This window comes from Homo sapiens, chromosome 4, assembly GCF_000001405.40.
Source record: "Homo sapiens chromosome 4, GRCh38.p14 Primary Assembly".
NCBI classification, from domain to species: domain Eukaryota; kingdom Metazoa; phylum Chordata; class Mammalia; order Primates; family Hominidae; genus Homo; species Homo sapiens.
This window is the reverse complement of record NC_000004.12, coordinates 182,759,302-182,777,037: the sequence shown is the minus strand read 5'-3', so window position 1 is coordinate 182,777,037 and position 17,736 is coordinate 182,759,302. Positions and strand designations below refer to the sequence as shown.

At 42.1% G+C, this 17,736-nt stretch overlaps 1 protein-coding gene and 1 long non-coding RNA gene across 32 annotated transcripts in view; one reads left to right on the top strand and one right to left on the bottom strand.

The window, feature by feature from the left end:
* TENM3 (teneurin transmembrane protein 3) overlaps positions 1–17,736 on the bottom strand; it is a 1,355,412-nt gene that overhangs the window by 25,987 nt on the left and 1,311,689 nt on the right. For all 31 annotated transcript variants that reach the window (XM_017008385.2, XM_017008389.2, XM_017008390.2 and 28 more), the window contains 2 exons: positions 3,391–3,566; positions 1,885–2,120 (listed from right to left, as the gene is read on the bottom strand). In XM_017008385.2, coding sequence (XP_016863874.1) covers positions 1,885–2,120; positions 3,391–3,566 — 412 coding nt within the window. The remainder of the gene's footprint in view (positions 1–1,884; positions 2,121–3,390; positions 3,567–17,736) is intronic.
* LOC105377571 (uncharacterized) lies at positions 9,648–15,403 on the top strand. Its single transcript, XR_939528.3, has 3 exons — positions 9,648–9,824; positions 11,274–11,404; positions 14,255–15,403. It is a non-coding gene; the product is annotated as an uncharacterized LOC105377571 (long non-coding RNA).

Genomic DNA, 17,736 nt, shown 5'->3' with positions numbered 1-17,736 from the left:
GAATTTCTCCCTTAGAATCCACAGAGGAATGAAATTAGCAGTCAGAGCTGGCACATCCAATCTTATCTTGAAAGTAAGAAGCCCTCCCTTGTGATCTTGGCATTGTCTCTCCGAGAGCAATCAAACATATCAGCTGGAAATCTCCTTTCAGTGGGATGGCACAGGCCATTTTAAATAGCGTATTTTCTAAAACGTCTTGCTGAGGCATTGTGGCTCTGCCATTTAGAAAGAAAGTAACACCCATGCCTGTGTGCACTGGCCTCTTCCTTCCTCAAGTGAGGTATTTTCTTCATTTAGGATTAGGCAGAGAACCAGGGACTTCAGACTGGGTTTCCTCTCTTTCCCTCTCATCTGCCTAAGTTCCTTTTATGTCTTGCAAAGCAGTATTACAAAGAAAAAAAAAGTGCACACTTACTTATAACTTGTCTCCAAGAACAGCAGGCAATATGTTATGGTTATGTGGTCAGTTTCTGGACAAAGTATTTCCCCCTCCTCCCTCTTTCCAGTGAAATTTTACTATCCAGCAAGCTCAACAGCCCTTTCCTATCCATCTGGTGTGTGAGTAGAAGAGGCTATCTGCGTTAGGGTCAGGGAATATATAACCATGCCTTTTCTTTTCTTGTTTCGAGACAGAATCTTGCTTTGTCTCCTAGGCTGGAGTGTAGTGGCGCGATCTCGACTCACTGCAACCTCCGCCTCGAGTGTTCAAGCAATCCTCCTGCCTTAGCCTCCTGAGAAGCTGGGATTACAGGGACCCACCTCCACGCCTGGCTGATTTTTGTATTTTTAGTAGAGATGGGTTTCACCATGTTGCCTAGGCTGGTCTCGAACTCCTGACCTCAAGTGGTCCGCCTACCTTGGCCTCCCAAAGTGTTGGGATTACAGGCGTGAACCACCAACGCCCAGCCTATTTTCAAAGTACTTTCACATTATCTCATTTGATTCTTGTAACAACTGTGTAAAACAGAGGTAGTATAGGGTAAATTTCATTTATCTGCAATATAGCTATATATATATCTCCTATCTATATATATCTCCTATCTATCTATATATATATAATCTATCTATCTATCTATCTATCATCTACATATCTCCTATCTATCTTGTTATGGTATTTAGATAATGTGTAATCTATATCATAATATGGATACCATGATATAGATAAGGAAACAGATTCAGAGATGTTCTGATTCTCCCATAAGGTTTACTATTAGCAAAAAGTAGAGCCTCATCTGGAACCCATAATTTTTTGAACCCTAGTTAGGTGCTGTGTCTTTGGTATGCAGAGAGAGGGGCACAGCTGTCATCCATGTCTTTGTGTCTTTTGATGAAGTCCTGCATCTGAGAACAGGTGTGACGCTGTGTGCACACGTGCATGTGACCCCTGCTTCAGGACAGCTGAGCAAGAGGAGGCCTGTGAACTAGCCTTGCGTTTGCAGTGGCCCAAGGCAGCAGGGGCCCTGGGAAGCAGCAGTGAGTAGAGGCAGCAAACGGGGATGCAGGTGGCGGCAGTGTCTGGGGCTCAGCAGAACAAAGAGCAGCAGCTGGAGTCCGCTTTGGGAATGGACCATAGCTCTGTGAAAGTGACCTGGAAGATGTCTGGAGCTGGTTTTCATGGTCATGGCTTTACCTTCACTCCTGATCTCCTTTTCCCTCTAGTGTCCTATTGCTTTTTCTTCTCAGCCCTCTCACGACCTGACCTCCCTCCAGCCTCCCCAGCTGCACCTGCCAGAACAGGCCCATGTGGGATTGGAACCACACTGAGCGAGGTGCTCATACTCAGTGTAGACATAGGGGGGTGAGCAGGAGACGCAACCTGCCCTCAGGATGATCTGCACAGATCAGAGGGCTGCAGCTATCTCCTGCTCCACAACACGTACGTACCCTGAGCTTGCGGCCAAAGACATTGACTTTCCCTTGGGCTTGCTCTTTTCGGAATCTCCATTCCACCAAGTTTTGACCGTTCTCGCCAGGCAAAGTCATGTTTCTTTTGGCAACCGTCGGATTAGCGGTGCCAGCCAGAACGTGCGGCTCTGTTTGGTAGTGTGAGTCCAGGCCACTGGCGTAGATAATTCTGAGGGAGCCGTCATAACCAATCTGGTAGCTGTTTCTTAACTGATCTAAAGAACAAGAAGCACAAAACATGAACTATTAGATATGGATTAAATACTTGGCCGGTTGTGCCGTGAGATAGGTTCTAAATTTCTAAAAGTTGACTAGGAATAAGGAGTACCTGATGATGTCCTTTTAGAAAGAAACAAAACAACTTTGATCCTTGGCATTTCATGCTGTCAGAGGTTTGGCTAAATATTAAAGGCAAACTTTAGGGGAATTTGAAGTCCTTCTGCAGTTTAATAGACTTCTTTTTCTCATTTGCCTGATGAAATGAGAGCTCAGCTTCCATGGGATGTGCACTAAGTAAATATTTTGTAAAGAGGCACATATGTGATCTCTCAGGAGCGCGGTGTACACACCTCCAAGGTCTTGGAAGACTTCCCTCCCCTGCACCCAATCCCTGCATCTTCTGTCAAAGATCCTTTGAAAGGATTAATATCTATATCTTGAATACCAAAAATAGAAAGCAATGTTCCCTCCGAAATTGACTTCAATAAAGGAAGACATTTTATATTTTATACAAAAAAGCTCATATTGTAGACTACTGCCTCAGTTTAAAATTTTGAAATAATATAGGACCATTTGGGGAAGGAATGAATTCAAGCAATAGCAGTTTTAGATGGTTAGAGATTACTTCATGGAACAGGTAAAAAAAATGAGTCAAAAAGTTGAATACAGATTTAGTAATTATTCTTAGAGTTGTGAACTCACAATTACAAATGTCATTGTAGACAGGCTTTTTCAAATTTAGAAAGGAATATGGCAAGGAGGGTCCATTATGGAGATATGGCATCTATATGACTATAGATGGAATGAAAAAATGGACACTCCAGGCATTACATGAATGTGTAGTTGGAATTTGGGATAAAATTTCCATGACATGCAGATTAAAATACTGCATCACATATGGCCTCAAAAAGTGCTGTGTCTCAAACTACTGTACTTAGATGGCGGTCAGAAGACCTGCTCTGGAAAACTCTTAGGTGATGCAAAAATCGCCTGATGATGCATGTGAAGGGCTGGAATGAAGTTGTTTTAATACATGGGAATGGAAACAGACACTATTCCAAGGATGACAGATTATCTTATATGTGGTTTTAAAATATGTCTATACAAGTAAATAAATATTACATGTACACTGTAGATTATGTCACCAATATTTCTAGAGGTTTACATTTTCACCTTCCCTTTTCTGGTTCACCTTGGAAAGTGGGTGTTGCCGCATTCTGTCTGGGTGCTGGTGGTACTTGTTTAAAATGATGCTTTCGTGTTTACCTTGAACCATGGTGTAGAAAGAATCGATCGAGGACAGATTTGAAGTGATGCTGACATCTTCTTCTCGGCTAGATGACTCAATGTCCACTGTGATAGCCTTGTCCATGTCCCCATGCAGGTTTGTGACCACTCCAGTTGGAAACGTAACATTTGTCAGACGACCTTCACTGTCATAGCTAAATACAAGAGGCATTAACTTGGTGTTAAATAGGAAACTGCAGTTTCTTCTGACTTATAAATATAATGTGTAGCAATATTAGTTGCACAAATTTGGAGGACTATTTGTCTTCGTGGATGAGCGATGCAGAGTGAAGACTTCAAACATGCTTTGAAGTAATCAAAAACCCGTTTAACATAGAAAAACCTCACCGGTGAGAACACGAGTAAACAGACCAGCTCTCCATCTCAGCACATGATTCTTTGAAGTGTGACCAAAATCCTCCTGCACATCTAATTTGCTGTTTCAAAGGGAACATGTTTGCTGATATTAAATTCCTTAGTATTCCTTCATATTTTCTACAAAGTAGATTTAATTCACTGTTACATCAGTTCTTAAAGATTTACTGACTTACTCCCTCGGTGGCAGTACAGTACAGTATGTTTACGTGCATGTATGTATTTGCATATGTAAAAAATCCTTTTAGTATCTTCAGACATCTTCAACAAATTAATAAAATAAGAACCTTTTAAAGACTTTCTTATTTCTCAGTGATTGACATACTTCATAATGGTAAATTAGAGCTTGAATGCTGGCAGTGGTGATGATAACCCATCTTGTCTACAGTGATATTGAAAGAATGGGGAATATCTTGCATGGTGATTTACTGTGTTCACTGAAATGAGATGCAATATTTCCTGACATTTAATGATTATTTGTTTTTTTTTTACACACTTACTCTTTTTAGCAGACAAATACAAGAGTAACTTATAATTTGAGTGTTAAAATACATTTTAAAAGCTGTTCTGTGCTCATAAATATGCATCATAGATACAACATTTGACTGAAGAATTGAATTTTTGTGACTTTTCTATTTGTGGCAGCACCAGAGAAAATTTCAAAAATGATGGTGTCGTCTGAAGAAAGAAAAAAAAAAAAGCAAAAATCTGGATGAGAAATTAGGAGTTTCCTTGGGACCACAATATACTAAAGGGTGGATTTCAGATTGATTCTAAGACTGCTTCACTAATCGAAGGTTCCCAGTGAGATGGAGACCTGAATCAACATCCTACTTGAAGTAAGCCCAGACACAGAACTAACAGAGAAACAATGCTGTTAGAGAAAGACAGGTTACCAGGGCAGGAAAACAGTGACAGGGGATCATAATCGTAGGTGAAAACACGGGGCCACACAGGAGTGAGGAGTAAAAAAGGTACTTGAGTGATATTTGGGAATAAAAGGATAGAGGTGTTTTGTTTGTTTTTTCAATTTCACTTGTTTATGAGATGATAGGGGTTTTTCGTGAAACATTCATTTTGAAAAATGTGGTTGTTCATCAGGAGAAGATTCTAGGTGATAAAGACAGAGAAGACTCCGCCAGGACAATGTTACAGTAGAGAGAGGGAAGAAAGAGAGGAGGAAGGCGAGGGACGGAGGTCTGTTCCGTGCCCGGTGATGAGCTGATCCCATTAATTCGGTGGGGACAGTATCGGTCAGATCATGGGTTTGACTGACATGATCTGACAACCTGCCACGCTGCTCAGCCAGCGGCAGGAACGGGCACTCAGGAGGGAGAAGCCAGGGATGGAGACACAGAGGAAGCCAATGCACCATTAAGTGGAATCATTGTTTAGACTCACAAAAGGCAGAGCTGAAGATGTCCTCCCCACCAACCCAAACGCCCCTAGCAAAGGAAGGCATAAATGAAAGAAATCCAACAGAGTTTATTGCTGTGATCGCTTTTTTGAAGAAATTACTGCTCTTGAAGAAACAAACACGCACTGGTTTATTTAAGAACAAGCAGCGCAGAGTTACAGAATTATTGACAAAACCAGCCTAAAGTTCTGTCGTTCAGTTTGGCATAAGTCTTGCAGCAGATTACACATCTCATGGTATGATGTGAAGAACGTGCTATCGGGTTAAAAAAAATTAATGCCCTTTTGAATGCCTCTACATAGGAGAATTCTGTATTGTACTATTTCCCCCCCCCCCATTTCAGAGACGGAAAATGAAAATACGACGTGGTTAGCTGATTTGATCTGGCTCTCACGCTATCTCTTGACTGGACCATAACTGGGACTTTTGTGCAGCTGACCCCAGGCCCACTAGCCCTCCTGTAGATCACAGTGCCTGATTTAAAGCTGGGAACTCTAGCTTTATATAGATTGTACCACCTGCAAGCAGCTTGCTGATTCATTCTCCTCTGCCCTTTTTTGACCCTTTTGCTGGTTTATATTTTCTAGCCCCATTCAATCTGAAGCAGAAACTTCACCTTTCTCCTGTAGAAAGCATTTCTGCAACCTCTGACTTTGCTCTTTCATTGGCTTACCACACATTCCATTCCCTGCTGGGCAGGCATTCTATATCACAGGATCCTCGGCACAGGGAGATACAGCCCAGGAAGCTGAAAGTTCAGACTCTCACCTATTAGCCTTTGGTTCTTTGGGAAATAAAAATACAAGTAACCTTTGTAGGTAGTACAGTTAGAATGACAGAGGGTTAAGCTGGGATCCTAGCGGCCCAGCTTAACAGTTTAGCCCTGGAAGTTCTGAATTTGTGCCTTCTAAGGAGTAGCTGAAGCTAAGTGCAGGCACTAACAGGGCTGAAGTGTTTGCACAAGGAAGGCTGCTCCGGTGTCAGGGTCCTCAGAGCTCCTATCTAACCCGGCACCCAACAGTTTCAGAACAGCCTTTCCGTGCAAGCTAAAGCGTGAGGATATTGTGAAAACAGAGAAGTCTGGGTGAGCAGAGGTCATATACGTGACAATTTAACTATTACAAATGAGTGTCCTGTGAGGCTACCACTCACCAGAGTGAGCAGAAGGGGAGATGTGTTCACGCTGACATAGCTGGGGAAGAGCTGCACCCAGGTGGGGACCTGGCCAGGTCCCGGAATAGAACTAGATATGCCTCTGGGCAGATTCTCTGCTTATTTGCAACTGTGTGGCTCAACTGAATGTTGCTTGGCCTTAGTGGTGAACTAGACTGTGGGATCAGGCAGTCAGGCAGGGGCCCGGGTGGGGCTGGGAGGGCTGCGGAGGAAGGTGTCGGGGTGCAGGGGCCCGGCTGAGGCACAGTGGCCAGCACAGAGTCATACTGGAAGGGAGCCTTGGGTGGATCTCCTCACTGGAGAACATGAGGTGCTGAAGAAGGTTTAAAGAAAGCGGGGTTTTAACGAGGAACCTAAGGTGGGGGTGAGAGTGGCTCCCTGACTTGCCAATTTTACAAACCATGAAAAAAATCAGGGATCAACACAGGGTTTTTAAATTAAAAACTACTACCCGTTACTCCCATCGTTTCATAAGGCCATTTAAACATATCAAAGAGAGGCGGGACCTACCTGTAGGGTGAGTTCTTTCAAAAGAACTGTTTTTTTTTTTTTTTTTCGAGACAAGTCTCACTCTGTCGCCCAGACTGGAATGCAGTGGCATGATCTCGGCTCACTGCAACCTCCGCCTCCTGGGTTCAAGCAATCCTCCTCCCTCAGCCTCCTGAGTAGCTAGGATTAGAGGCCCCCGCCACCACGCCCAGGTAATTTTTGTATTTTTTAGTAGATACGGGATTTCACCATATTGGTCAGGCTGGTCTCAAACTCCTGTCCTCAGGTGATCCACCTGCCTCGGCCTCCTAAAGTGTTGAGATTACAGGAGTGAGCCACCACGCCCGGCCAAAAGGACTGTTCTTTATTTATGTATTTATTTATTTTTTGAGACAGAGTCTTGCTCTGTTGCCTAGGCTAGAGTACAGTGGTGCGATCTTGGCTCACTGCAACCTCCGCCTCCCAAGTTCAAGCGATTCTCCTGCCGCAGCCTCCTGAGTAGCTAGGATTACAGGCGCCTGCCACTGTTTCTGTAATTTTTTTGTGTATTTTTAGTAGAGACGGGGTTTCACCATCTTGGCCAGACTGGTCTCAAACTCCTGACCTCGTGATCCTCCCGCCTCGGCCTCCCAAAGTGCTGGGATTACAGGCGTGAGCCACCACGCCCGGCCTAGGACTGCTCTTTAAAAGCAATGAATAAAGCTTTATGATGAAAACATTCTCCACATCATTTTTTTTTTTTTCATTTCAGTGCGGACGAGTAAAAACTTTTTCACAGATTAGCACCTATGTCAACAGAAATGAAAACGAGATGAAGGAAAGACATCAGAAAAATGACCCGGGGACTCTGACTAAGGGAGTGAAAGAAAATGTCTTCAAAGACGACTCTCAGGTACTTCCATAAACATCAGGCTAACTCTTCTTTACCTCCACAAAAGAAGAAAACCAATGCACCCACGAATGTCCAGCTAGCCTCTGAAATACTCTGACTCCAGGTCTTAAAAAGACCTTTCCAACAACTAGATATGCCTCTGGGCGGATTCAGATTCTCTTGCTTATTTGCAACTGTGTGACTCAACTGAACGTTGCTTGGCCTTAGTGGTGAACTAGCCCTGCCCAGCTTATAGATTTGAGAGGTAGTTTTCCTTTATTAGCTTTTTGAATGTACAATGCAATAGGCTCCAGGGAATTTGAATAGAACATCAACTTCATGCCCCCCATTGCATTCCTCTGGCCTTAGCCTCATGGTTTCAAATTCATAACACAGCACATTCCTTCCTGCTCCTGCCTGACCCCTCTTTACAAAGGACTCTCGCTGGAAAGGACAAACTTCCTCAGGCTCTCCGTGACCTACCGCTCTTCCACTGATGAGATGCCCTTATTTGATGTTTATCTGTTTGTTGGTCTTTAATTTGGATTGCATGTTTGCCTAGTTGCTGTTTTAGCTTTTGTGGTATATTTTTAAATCTCTTTTTAAAGTTTCCTAAGTAGTGGGATTATCGACAAATGCCTCGGAGAATCACAGCCTCAGTCATTCTCAGCTGAGAATGCTATATTCAACCTGACGTGAAGCTCCTAACTTTCTCCTTTTCCTTGGTAATGTCTCTCAGATATTTATCTTTCTATTCCCAGAGCTTCCCTAGACTTTTAAAATGGGTCTATCTGCCTCTTCCCATATTCACTGATACCAAATCAATCTGAAACACCATGATTATAATACCTTTCTACTTAAACATCTTCAGTAGATGCTCATCTGAGAGTAAAATCAAGTGATTTAGACTGTTACCAACCCAATGTCAACAGCCTATTGATGTTGCAAATTTATTCAAGTGGAAACAATTTGCAGTTCTCGAAAACTTTCTTTACAACTTGACAACAGGAGTATTTATCGTCTTTGGTGCTTCCCCATAAAATGGCTTCTTTAACCAAAGGTTATGTTTTTAAAATTATCTTCTGCTTTTGAGAAAAGTACGTGTAAATGAGAGCACAGCTTTAGAGAAGCGCATACACCAGGGCAGAGAAGTCATTCTAACTCTGGAGGTGGGCTCTTTTGCGGAGTGACGTGCTCTTTATCCCTTCTGTGGATTGTCAGTCCAGAATTCAGCCTGACCCTGAACTGGCCCGACTCAAACACGAGACCAGCATATGTCGTTACGTATATACTGGCGGCAATGCCCTCCCCACACCTCTGTCATTTTCACCTAGGGAAGCCGGAGTGAGAGTCACTGAAATGTGACTGCTTTCTCCGGTCAAAACCAAGCCTGTTCTGGGCAGGCAAGACAGCAGCAGATGTTGGTTTGGGTTCATTCTGAAGGCCTCCAGATGGGATAAATGTTCAAGTTTCCTCATGAGTGGGCCTTCCTCGGGTCTTCCTCAGGGCCATCCCAGAGCTAGCCTGCTTTTGAGAGCTGCTTCGTGGGTTACACGGGTTTGCTTTCAGACTTGGATCCCAGTAAGAACTCACATGAAGGACTTAATTAACCCATCTTTCTCCCACTTTCACTATAATGTGTATGTGTGTGATGTGTATATATAGTATACGTAGTGTATATACGTGTGTATGTAATATACACACACACCCACCCAGAAACACACACACACATTTTATACAGAGGGAGAATCTTTTCTTCCATCTAACAGAGTTGCGTAGGCTCAAATTTCCTTCCATAGTTTAACGGCCAACAACAACAAAAACAAACAATCCCCTCCATCTTGTCACCGGTTACCGCAAGACTTTTCCCACATTGCTAATTTGTAACAGCCTCGTATCTGTTGTTGAGGTGAAGTGGAACACAACTACTAACCCCGTCATGACTAAACATGTAGGCATAAATCACTCCTTGATCGTCCTTCCTGAGGAGGGACTTGTGCACAAACAGCGAACCCGGAACGGCGGGCTGATGCGGAATCTTAATGGCAATAATGTGATTTGCAACAGCAACAGCGAAAGATTTTACATGTAAGTCTTCTGAGAAGGAACCTATGGTTTATGTATTTTAACAATTATCATCTCAAAGACAAATCATAATTTGTAGCAAGGTAGTAAGAAATCCTCAAAAATCAGGTTCTGGATAGAAAATGCTTCTATCACCAAGGGAAACAGAGCAGTCGCCTACGCCCACATCATGGCACCACCTGATACTCCCCTGCCTGCTACCTACCTATTATCAAAAATGGCAGGGAAAATGCAAAAGAAGGAAGACAAAAGAAAGTATTATTTTACGTGAGTTTGGTCTTGGTGCTAAGGGGATCCTGATGAGAAAGGGGTGAGAATTGTATGGGGTGGGTGTTGGTAACCCCAATGCGAATGTCTTTGTTGCTGCTGCATTTAATTAGGAGGTCTTGCTGATGGGGCAAATTCTGACCCGTGCTTTGCTCCATAAAACCAGAAAGGGTAGCAGTCTGCAGTCAAGCTGCTATTCTTTTTTTTTTCAAACACCCCCCAGCTAACATGAGTTCAGAGGCATGTAGACAAGGGCAGAGCCTCCCCCACTCCTCTCTGGTCCAGCCCTTTTGAACGCTGAGCATAGTGATAGATGGTCACAGAAATGACATTTTCTTCAAGAATCAAATTCAAAAATAGTGACCCAATGCCTCTTTCCTTTCATAGTCATTACCACATCAGGGAGAACTGACAAAGTGATAATGCCCAGCTCTGAAATTCACAGGCCTTGAGACAAAGCCATCCAAGTCAGGGCATTCCAGAATTAGTTCCCTTAGGGATTCGAAGGATTCTGGGTTAGCCATCATTAAGAGAAGAATCATGTTTAAGACAGTCTGTCTTTTTTTTTTCTTTTTTAAATTGTTTATCGAGTGAGGAAGGCTGACATGGGTAGGATACAGCTTATTTGTTTAGCTATCTGGTCTTGAAATGGAGACCTCCTAGACAGCTGATGGCGAGGAAAATTTTTGCTCCAAAGAATCTGTAAAACAGAACTGTGCATGCCCTCATCCTCCTGGATTTATTCCATGGGTCTGGAAGTGCTCAGAGGACAAACCCCTCCTTCTCTTTTGTTCTCCTTGTATCCTGGTGCCTGTTCAGCCGTACACAGACCCCACACCCTGGCACTGAGCGAGGACAAGGAGGGCTGTGCCAGGCTTCTAGTAAGTGGGAAAGATTTTTAAAAAGTAGGTGGCACATTTGGAAAGAGAAAATTCTATTTATTACTATAAATTGCTATTTCTACCACCAACATAACATATAAGATACTAGTTTGACCGAAATGCAATATGCAATATGCATAACTGTTTTAGCAGAGGAAATTTGGTAACTTTTGTTAAGTGTTATTTCTTTTGGAATACACCTTGACAGGGGCCTATGAGAAGTTGGAAGGAAATGGTAAAAATCACATATTTTCTTGTGAATAGGAAGTGATTTTTAATTACTAAGGAGCCTTTCATGTTACAGGTGAGGACAGGAAAATCCAGACAGGGGCTCTGACTCTCACAGTCATGCAGTTAGGAGTAAGCGACACAATCGCGACCGGAACCCAGGTTTTTAGTTTCATCTCATGAGTGTCAATGACTTGGGAAACGGAGGTGAGTAAGGAGGAAGGGTAAGGAAAAAAAGCCTAAGATGAGAGAATATGGAGACTAAGATGTTACCTACTCACAAGCTTTAAGAGAGAAAATGAACATTGAGCAAAGTGCAAGAAGTAAGGGGAGGCAGAGGAATGGCCACATTTGGGCAGTTAAGGAGCAAAAGGGAGCAAAGAAAGAAGATCAAATACAGAAAGTGATGCAAAATACAAGGGAAGACACAGATTTGAAGATTTCAAAAAATTAGGGATAGAGTATCCAGTAGGAGAAAGTGGATCCTTCAGTATTAACACAGCTGTTGTCTTTTATTATGAAGCCACAGGAAACTCCAGTCTGTAAACTCACATATTTGCACCTTCTTTTTTTCCACTTGTCACCAGATCTTCTATGTTCCCTTTCAATATGATTTTATTCACACTTATAGCTTCGGCTCTCTCAATAGCTCTCGTGTCCACATCTTTGGAATTGTCCTCTAAGTTCCAATCAGACATTTTTTTTTAATCACATGCTAGACTGTGCCATGGTACTCTCAAAGTCATAATTTACGAATCGGAACTCATCTTTTGTTGATCAACCTACAATTCTTCCCCGTATCTCCGTGTCCACTAGTCACCTAAGTTGGGAAAAAGGAAACTCATCCTTGATCCTCTTTTGCCCTTACCTCTTACATTCAGACAGCAAGTTACATTTCATGTCCTAATGACTGACTGACCTCTACTGCCTCCTACCTTTCCTTTCCTAACCTACTTTTCTACCTTAAATCTATCCTTACATTGTCACCAGATTGGCTATGTTGCTGTCCCTGTTAAACTCCTTGAACAGAGTCCCGCCTACCCCGGAGGGAAGATCCACGCAGTCCAGCTCTTCACGTAGCGGTGCAAGCCCTACTTGCGCAGAGGCACCATCTCCCTCCCTGGTTTCATCTTATCTCCCTCCTCCCCACACACATTCGATGCTCCTGTCATTCTGAGCTGTGTGTTCTTTCCAAAGCCTGCCACGTTCTGCTCCTGGGTAAATGCTTTCCTCTGGCCTAGCAGTCTCTTTCTCTCTCTTCTGGGTAGCCTTTATTCACAACTTGCAACACTGATCTTAAAAATTACCTCCCTTGGTAAGTTTTTCTTGCCTCATCCTGTCCCCAGTTCTCAATCGGATTTAGATGATCCTCCTCTGTACCTCCACGGCCTGTCGAACAACTATCTTAGCACTTACCATTCTTATCACTGTTTACTTGTCTTTCTCTCCCAGTGGACTCTGAGCTCCTTGAGAGCAGGGAATGTGTCATCTAGCTCTGCATCCTCCAGCACCTAAGGCCAGTAGCTGGCACATAATAAATTCTTACTGAATGAATGAGCACATGAGTGAATGAATGAATGCCAGGAAATTACGGGCTAAACAGGAAATGCTTGATGATCAAAAAGCACAGAAAACTTCCCACCTTATCAAAACCTAAGAGGTTTGAAATAATTTAATAATTTGTCAATCTGTTTGCCTTTGCAATGTAGCATGGAAAAGACTTTCATTTTCTTTTAGGTGGCATAGCTGCTTTTGGAAACTGTGCTTCCTCAGAGGCTGGTGTTGCCTGGACCAGTCCCATATGGGATTACCTATGCTTGTGGTTAATTGTTTGTGTTAAGGAGAATGGGGTACACTTTAAACATTAAGTTAAAAAACTAGAAATCTTTATTAAATTAGTAAGGGGTGAATGAGCTAATCTTTCATTGGATATGGATACACCGATATGAACATAAAGATAAATTCCTGGGCATAACATTTCTCACTAGCTCTAAATTATAAATAACCACTGCATAAACCCATTCTGACCTTCCTTGAGGGTTTAAAGGTTTGAGGTTTAGTCATCCTGAATATTTTTTGACTTCTCTAGGAATAGTCTGATGCATTTAGACACTCACATTCTGCTCCTCCAGATATAAGGTTCCTGTAACCTTTCTTTTATTACTATAACGCTAACTGACCTAGCTTAAAAACATCATCCTCTATAAATGAGTACTTTCTTCTAATTTTGGCAAGGCTTATGCTTGCCTTTATTAGAACTTGGTTCCATCGTTTCTTTTTTTTTTTGAGACGGAGTCTCACTCTGTCGCCCAGGCTGGCACGATCTGGGCTCACTGCAAGCTCCAACTCCTGGGTTCACGCCATTCTCCTGCCTCAGCCTCCCGAGTAGCTGGGACTACAGATGCCCGCCACCACGCCCAGCTAATTTTTTGTATTTTTAGTAGAGATGGGGTTTCACCGTGTTAGCTAGGATGGTCTCGATCTCCTGACGTCGTGATCCGCCCGCCTCAGCCTCCCAAAGTGTTGTTGGGATTACAGGTGTGAGCCACCGCGCCCGCCCCCATCTTTTCTTGAGTTTGAAACAGAATGACATCTTTCTTCTAGCTGATGCTTGACTTACATTCTTTAAATGCTTAATCAATTAACTACTTTAAAATACACTATAAGTTTTTCAGCCTTTGCTTTTTATACAGTTTTTTATTAAAAAGCCCAGTCATGGGAAAATCTTAAGTTATATCGGACCTACACTCTTAAAATACACTTAAAGAGAACAAAAAGTAGTTTTTAGAGAGCGCTACAAAGGAGTATTTCTTTACATCAATATTTTCTAGAAGTTGTGGGGGGTCTCTCTTGAAGAACCATGGCTTCACCAAACTTTGGGATGAACTTGAAGTCTAGGAAATCTTTTTTGAAGTATATCATCAGTACGTGTGTTTACGAGAAGTGGTAGTGGTGATGATGGGGTAGGGGAGGGCGGTGTAGCTAAGTGAGGAGTTAGGGTGACTTGAAGCATGTAGATGATAGTATCCCCAACCATCCTATCTATCTCCTTCATAGACTGCCTTCCCCAACCCAGAGAGAGCTCCAAAGAGAAGTGCAGTGTCCACACTGGTTCTGCATTTGCAGCCTCAAGATATTCTGACACCACTCTAGGATCCTGAAACATAGGCCAGGGACTTTCTCTGTGCTGAACACCTTCCTGGGAGGCTGAGGAGTTACGGGATCCAGGAGTGAGAGCTGCTGGCATTGCTTTTATTTTATTGTCAGAGGAATGAGCCACAGATGCTGCAAAGTCTCCAGAAAACACTCATTTGTCAATCTTCAGTTCTGTGATTGTAAAACATGAAAAGTTCTCTTGCACTGATCGTCCATGTGTAAACTTATTGCTTTATTATCAATCGTTTTAAATGGCTGGTGTACACAGCTTAGTGTTAGGGTAAATATCTGACAATCACCGTGTAAGGGAAGCTGATGATGCACACAGATATGAGGCCATCAAATCATCTAATCTAGACAGTTGCAGAACGAGTTTAAAGAGGAAACTGGACACTTGTGGAAGCTGCATTTACTCTTGAACCGTTATGGAACAAGTTAGCACATCCGGAATATTGACTTGCCAAATGGAACACCCTGAAAGAGTTAATTCAACCTTGCAACTATCAACACACTCCAGGGACACAGCCGATGAACTGAGAAAATCTGACTAATCTGTTTTTATTTTTTGTGCAATTTTTTGAGTAATCTGAACAACATACTCTTTCCCCAGTTCCTTTTCTCCTTTGAAACCTGGGCAGAACTAATGATTTTTAAAAACTAGACTGCAGAAGGTAATTGGAATAGATCAAGTATTAATAAAAGTATTGCCTTCATAGTGTTCAGGTTAATGCTTGAAATGTACAGCAGTCACTTTAGAAACTTGCCTATGCATTTTTTTATTGATGTCCCTGGAAATACACGTTTTGGTTAATAATTTAAAGCAAAAATTATTAAGCAATTAAACAAAACATCAAAAATAGAAATAAACTATTTGATTCTACTAAATCAAATATTTAAAATTCTATCAAAAATAGAATTTTCCCATGATTTTAAGTGATCTGCTGATAAACTCTCTTGCAAATCATTCTTAAACTCCTAAATGTTTTCTTTCATGAAGAAAGAAAAAGGAAAAGGAAAATAAAGCAGGTGGCTGAGCACCATTTTAAGATATATATGTGTGTGTGTATAAGTGTGTGTGTGTGTATACATATATACTTATAAAGTGGGCTGCTCAGTTTTTAATGCAGTTTTTGGCAGAAATAACAATGATGCAAGGTTCAGTGTTTCAGTTTTTAGGGTTGGATGGCAGATGCTTATCAAAGGAAAGGATATCCTCTCAGTTTTGTCCTGTGGAAGACACCTCTCTAATTCTTCTTCTTTTTTTTGGGATGGAGCCTCACTCTTTTCACCCAGGCTGGAGTGCAGTGGCGTGATCTTGGCTCACTGCAACATCTGCCTCCCGGGTTCAAGCGATTCTCCTGCCTCAGCCTCCCGAGTAGCTGGGATTATAGGTGAGTGCCACCACGCCCGGCTAATTTTTGTATTTCTAGTAGAGACAGGGTTTCACCATGTTGGCCAGGCTGGTCTTGAACTCCTGACCTCATGTGATCCGCCCACCTCAGCCTCCCAAAGTGCTGGGATTACAGATGTGAGCCGCCGTGCCCAGCCGATAACCTCTATAATTCTTCTAACATTAGAAGCGATTGCAGTGGTCACTTTTGTAAGGAGAACACAGCATGGCACTGCAGCCAGGCTGTTTAAATAATAGGAGTCAGTGTCAACAAGAATGGGCATAACTTTTCTAATTAATGATATCTTTTCTAATTAATGAATAATTATCATTGCGTTTTCCTGCATTATTTGTGCTTTTGGTATACAGTTTTGAACTTGAAATAGGCTTAGGCGTAGCACATGCGCTGTTCACATTGCCTGTCTTTCCTCTTCGGGGATCCCTTCTCTGAGGCACTCCTACAGCATGAGAACTGATGTCAGTGGGAGTCGTGGGTTTGCCATGGGCACTGAGTTAAGTTCATTATAAAGAAATGGTTCAGAAGCTCATTCTGAAATTGAAAAGCTTGAATGAGGGACAATAAACCACCCAAATGAGAAGCCGGAGACCCATATATACCTACATAATGTGTAAAAGCTGAAACTCATTTATTTGCTCTGTGAATCTGAATATAGCTCACAAAAGATCACAGAGTCAGCTCCACAAATACAGAGCTCCAAATATTCAAAGTCCCAAGATTTAAAAAAATGTCGCTAACCTGCTGGTGTGCATGTACATATTGGCCAGAATTCATAGTTTTTCATGTTGTCTTCTTTAACCAGACAGAAGAGCCTCTAGATATGCCCAAACGGTTTGTATTTGATGTGGGTAAGCAAGCAGAGAACTGTGAAATGCCATTTACTATTAAATAACGTATTCTGTTCCCCAATTCAATACACTGGATTTCACTTCTTTGTGCATTCGAGTGTAAGAACCGCGGTTTCTTTTCAGGCATAAACTTTTTAAATAATAAATATTTAGCAGGTGAGATCTTTTTGGTTTCCTTGGAATTACTCTGGCTAAGGAATGATCGCGTGTGGCCACTGTTTTTAAGTGGTGTGAAGAGCAGCATGAAGCGGTCCCTAATACTCACTGAAGACACAGTGTCTTCATACAAGGGGACCCTGTTAGCTAGTTGGGGTCCTTTCTACAGCCCAGCAAGTCAATGGAAGAGGAGGTCAGAGCCAAGATGGTTTACTCAGTCCGTAATGAATAATTATTTAGCTCGTGAAACATATTAGTCTAACTCAGTGATTTCAAAGCTGAGTTATAAACCATCTGATACCTAATGTAGTCTTCCCACCATACCATCCAGTAGCATGTCTAAATATATTGGCCACTTCTCTAATGAATCACAATAGGGACATAATAATTACAAGTAACATGGAGAGAAACTGCCGCCAAGAAGCAGATGATATCTCTAGTTTTCGAAATGACAGTTACCATGCTAAAGAAACCCCATCTGTGTACCCCGAAGAATCACCCTACTTACTTTATTGGTGATTGATAAAAACCTTATTGGGAATCAGGCTTTCTTCTCCTAGAATTCTTCCTGATACCAGATACAATAATATCCTTTAACTGTATTTGCATGGGAAAAGTTTTCTGTGTTTAACACCAACATTTCAGAAGAAAGTGCTATCAATAGGAAGTTATTATTTTGTTTAATTATTGGAATAAGAAGATCAACTGAGGAAGTCCTTATTTTATAAAGCAAAATACAGTGAGCAAACATGCAATATTGGGTAAATATTTTTAAAAATCAGTAACAAAAATGGGCAACGTTAACATTTTCAACATTCAGTATTGGTACGGAGGTGTGAACTAACTTAGAACGCAAAAGAGCATTTATAGGTGTTCTCTCAGTGGAGCGTTGGCAAATGCCAGCTTCTGGTTTTACCAGACTCTTCTCTGCAAATAAACACTGACCTGTCTACATCTCTGATTTATTTTT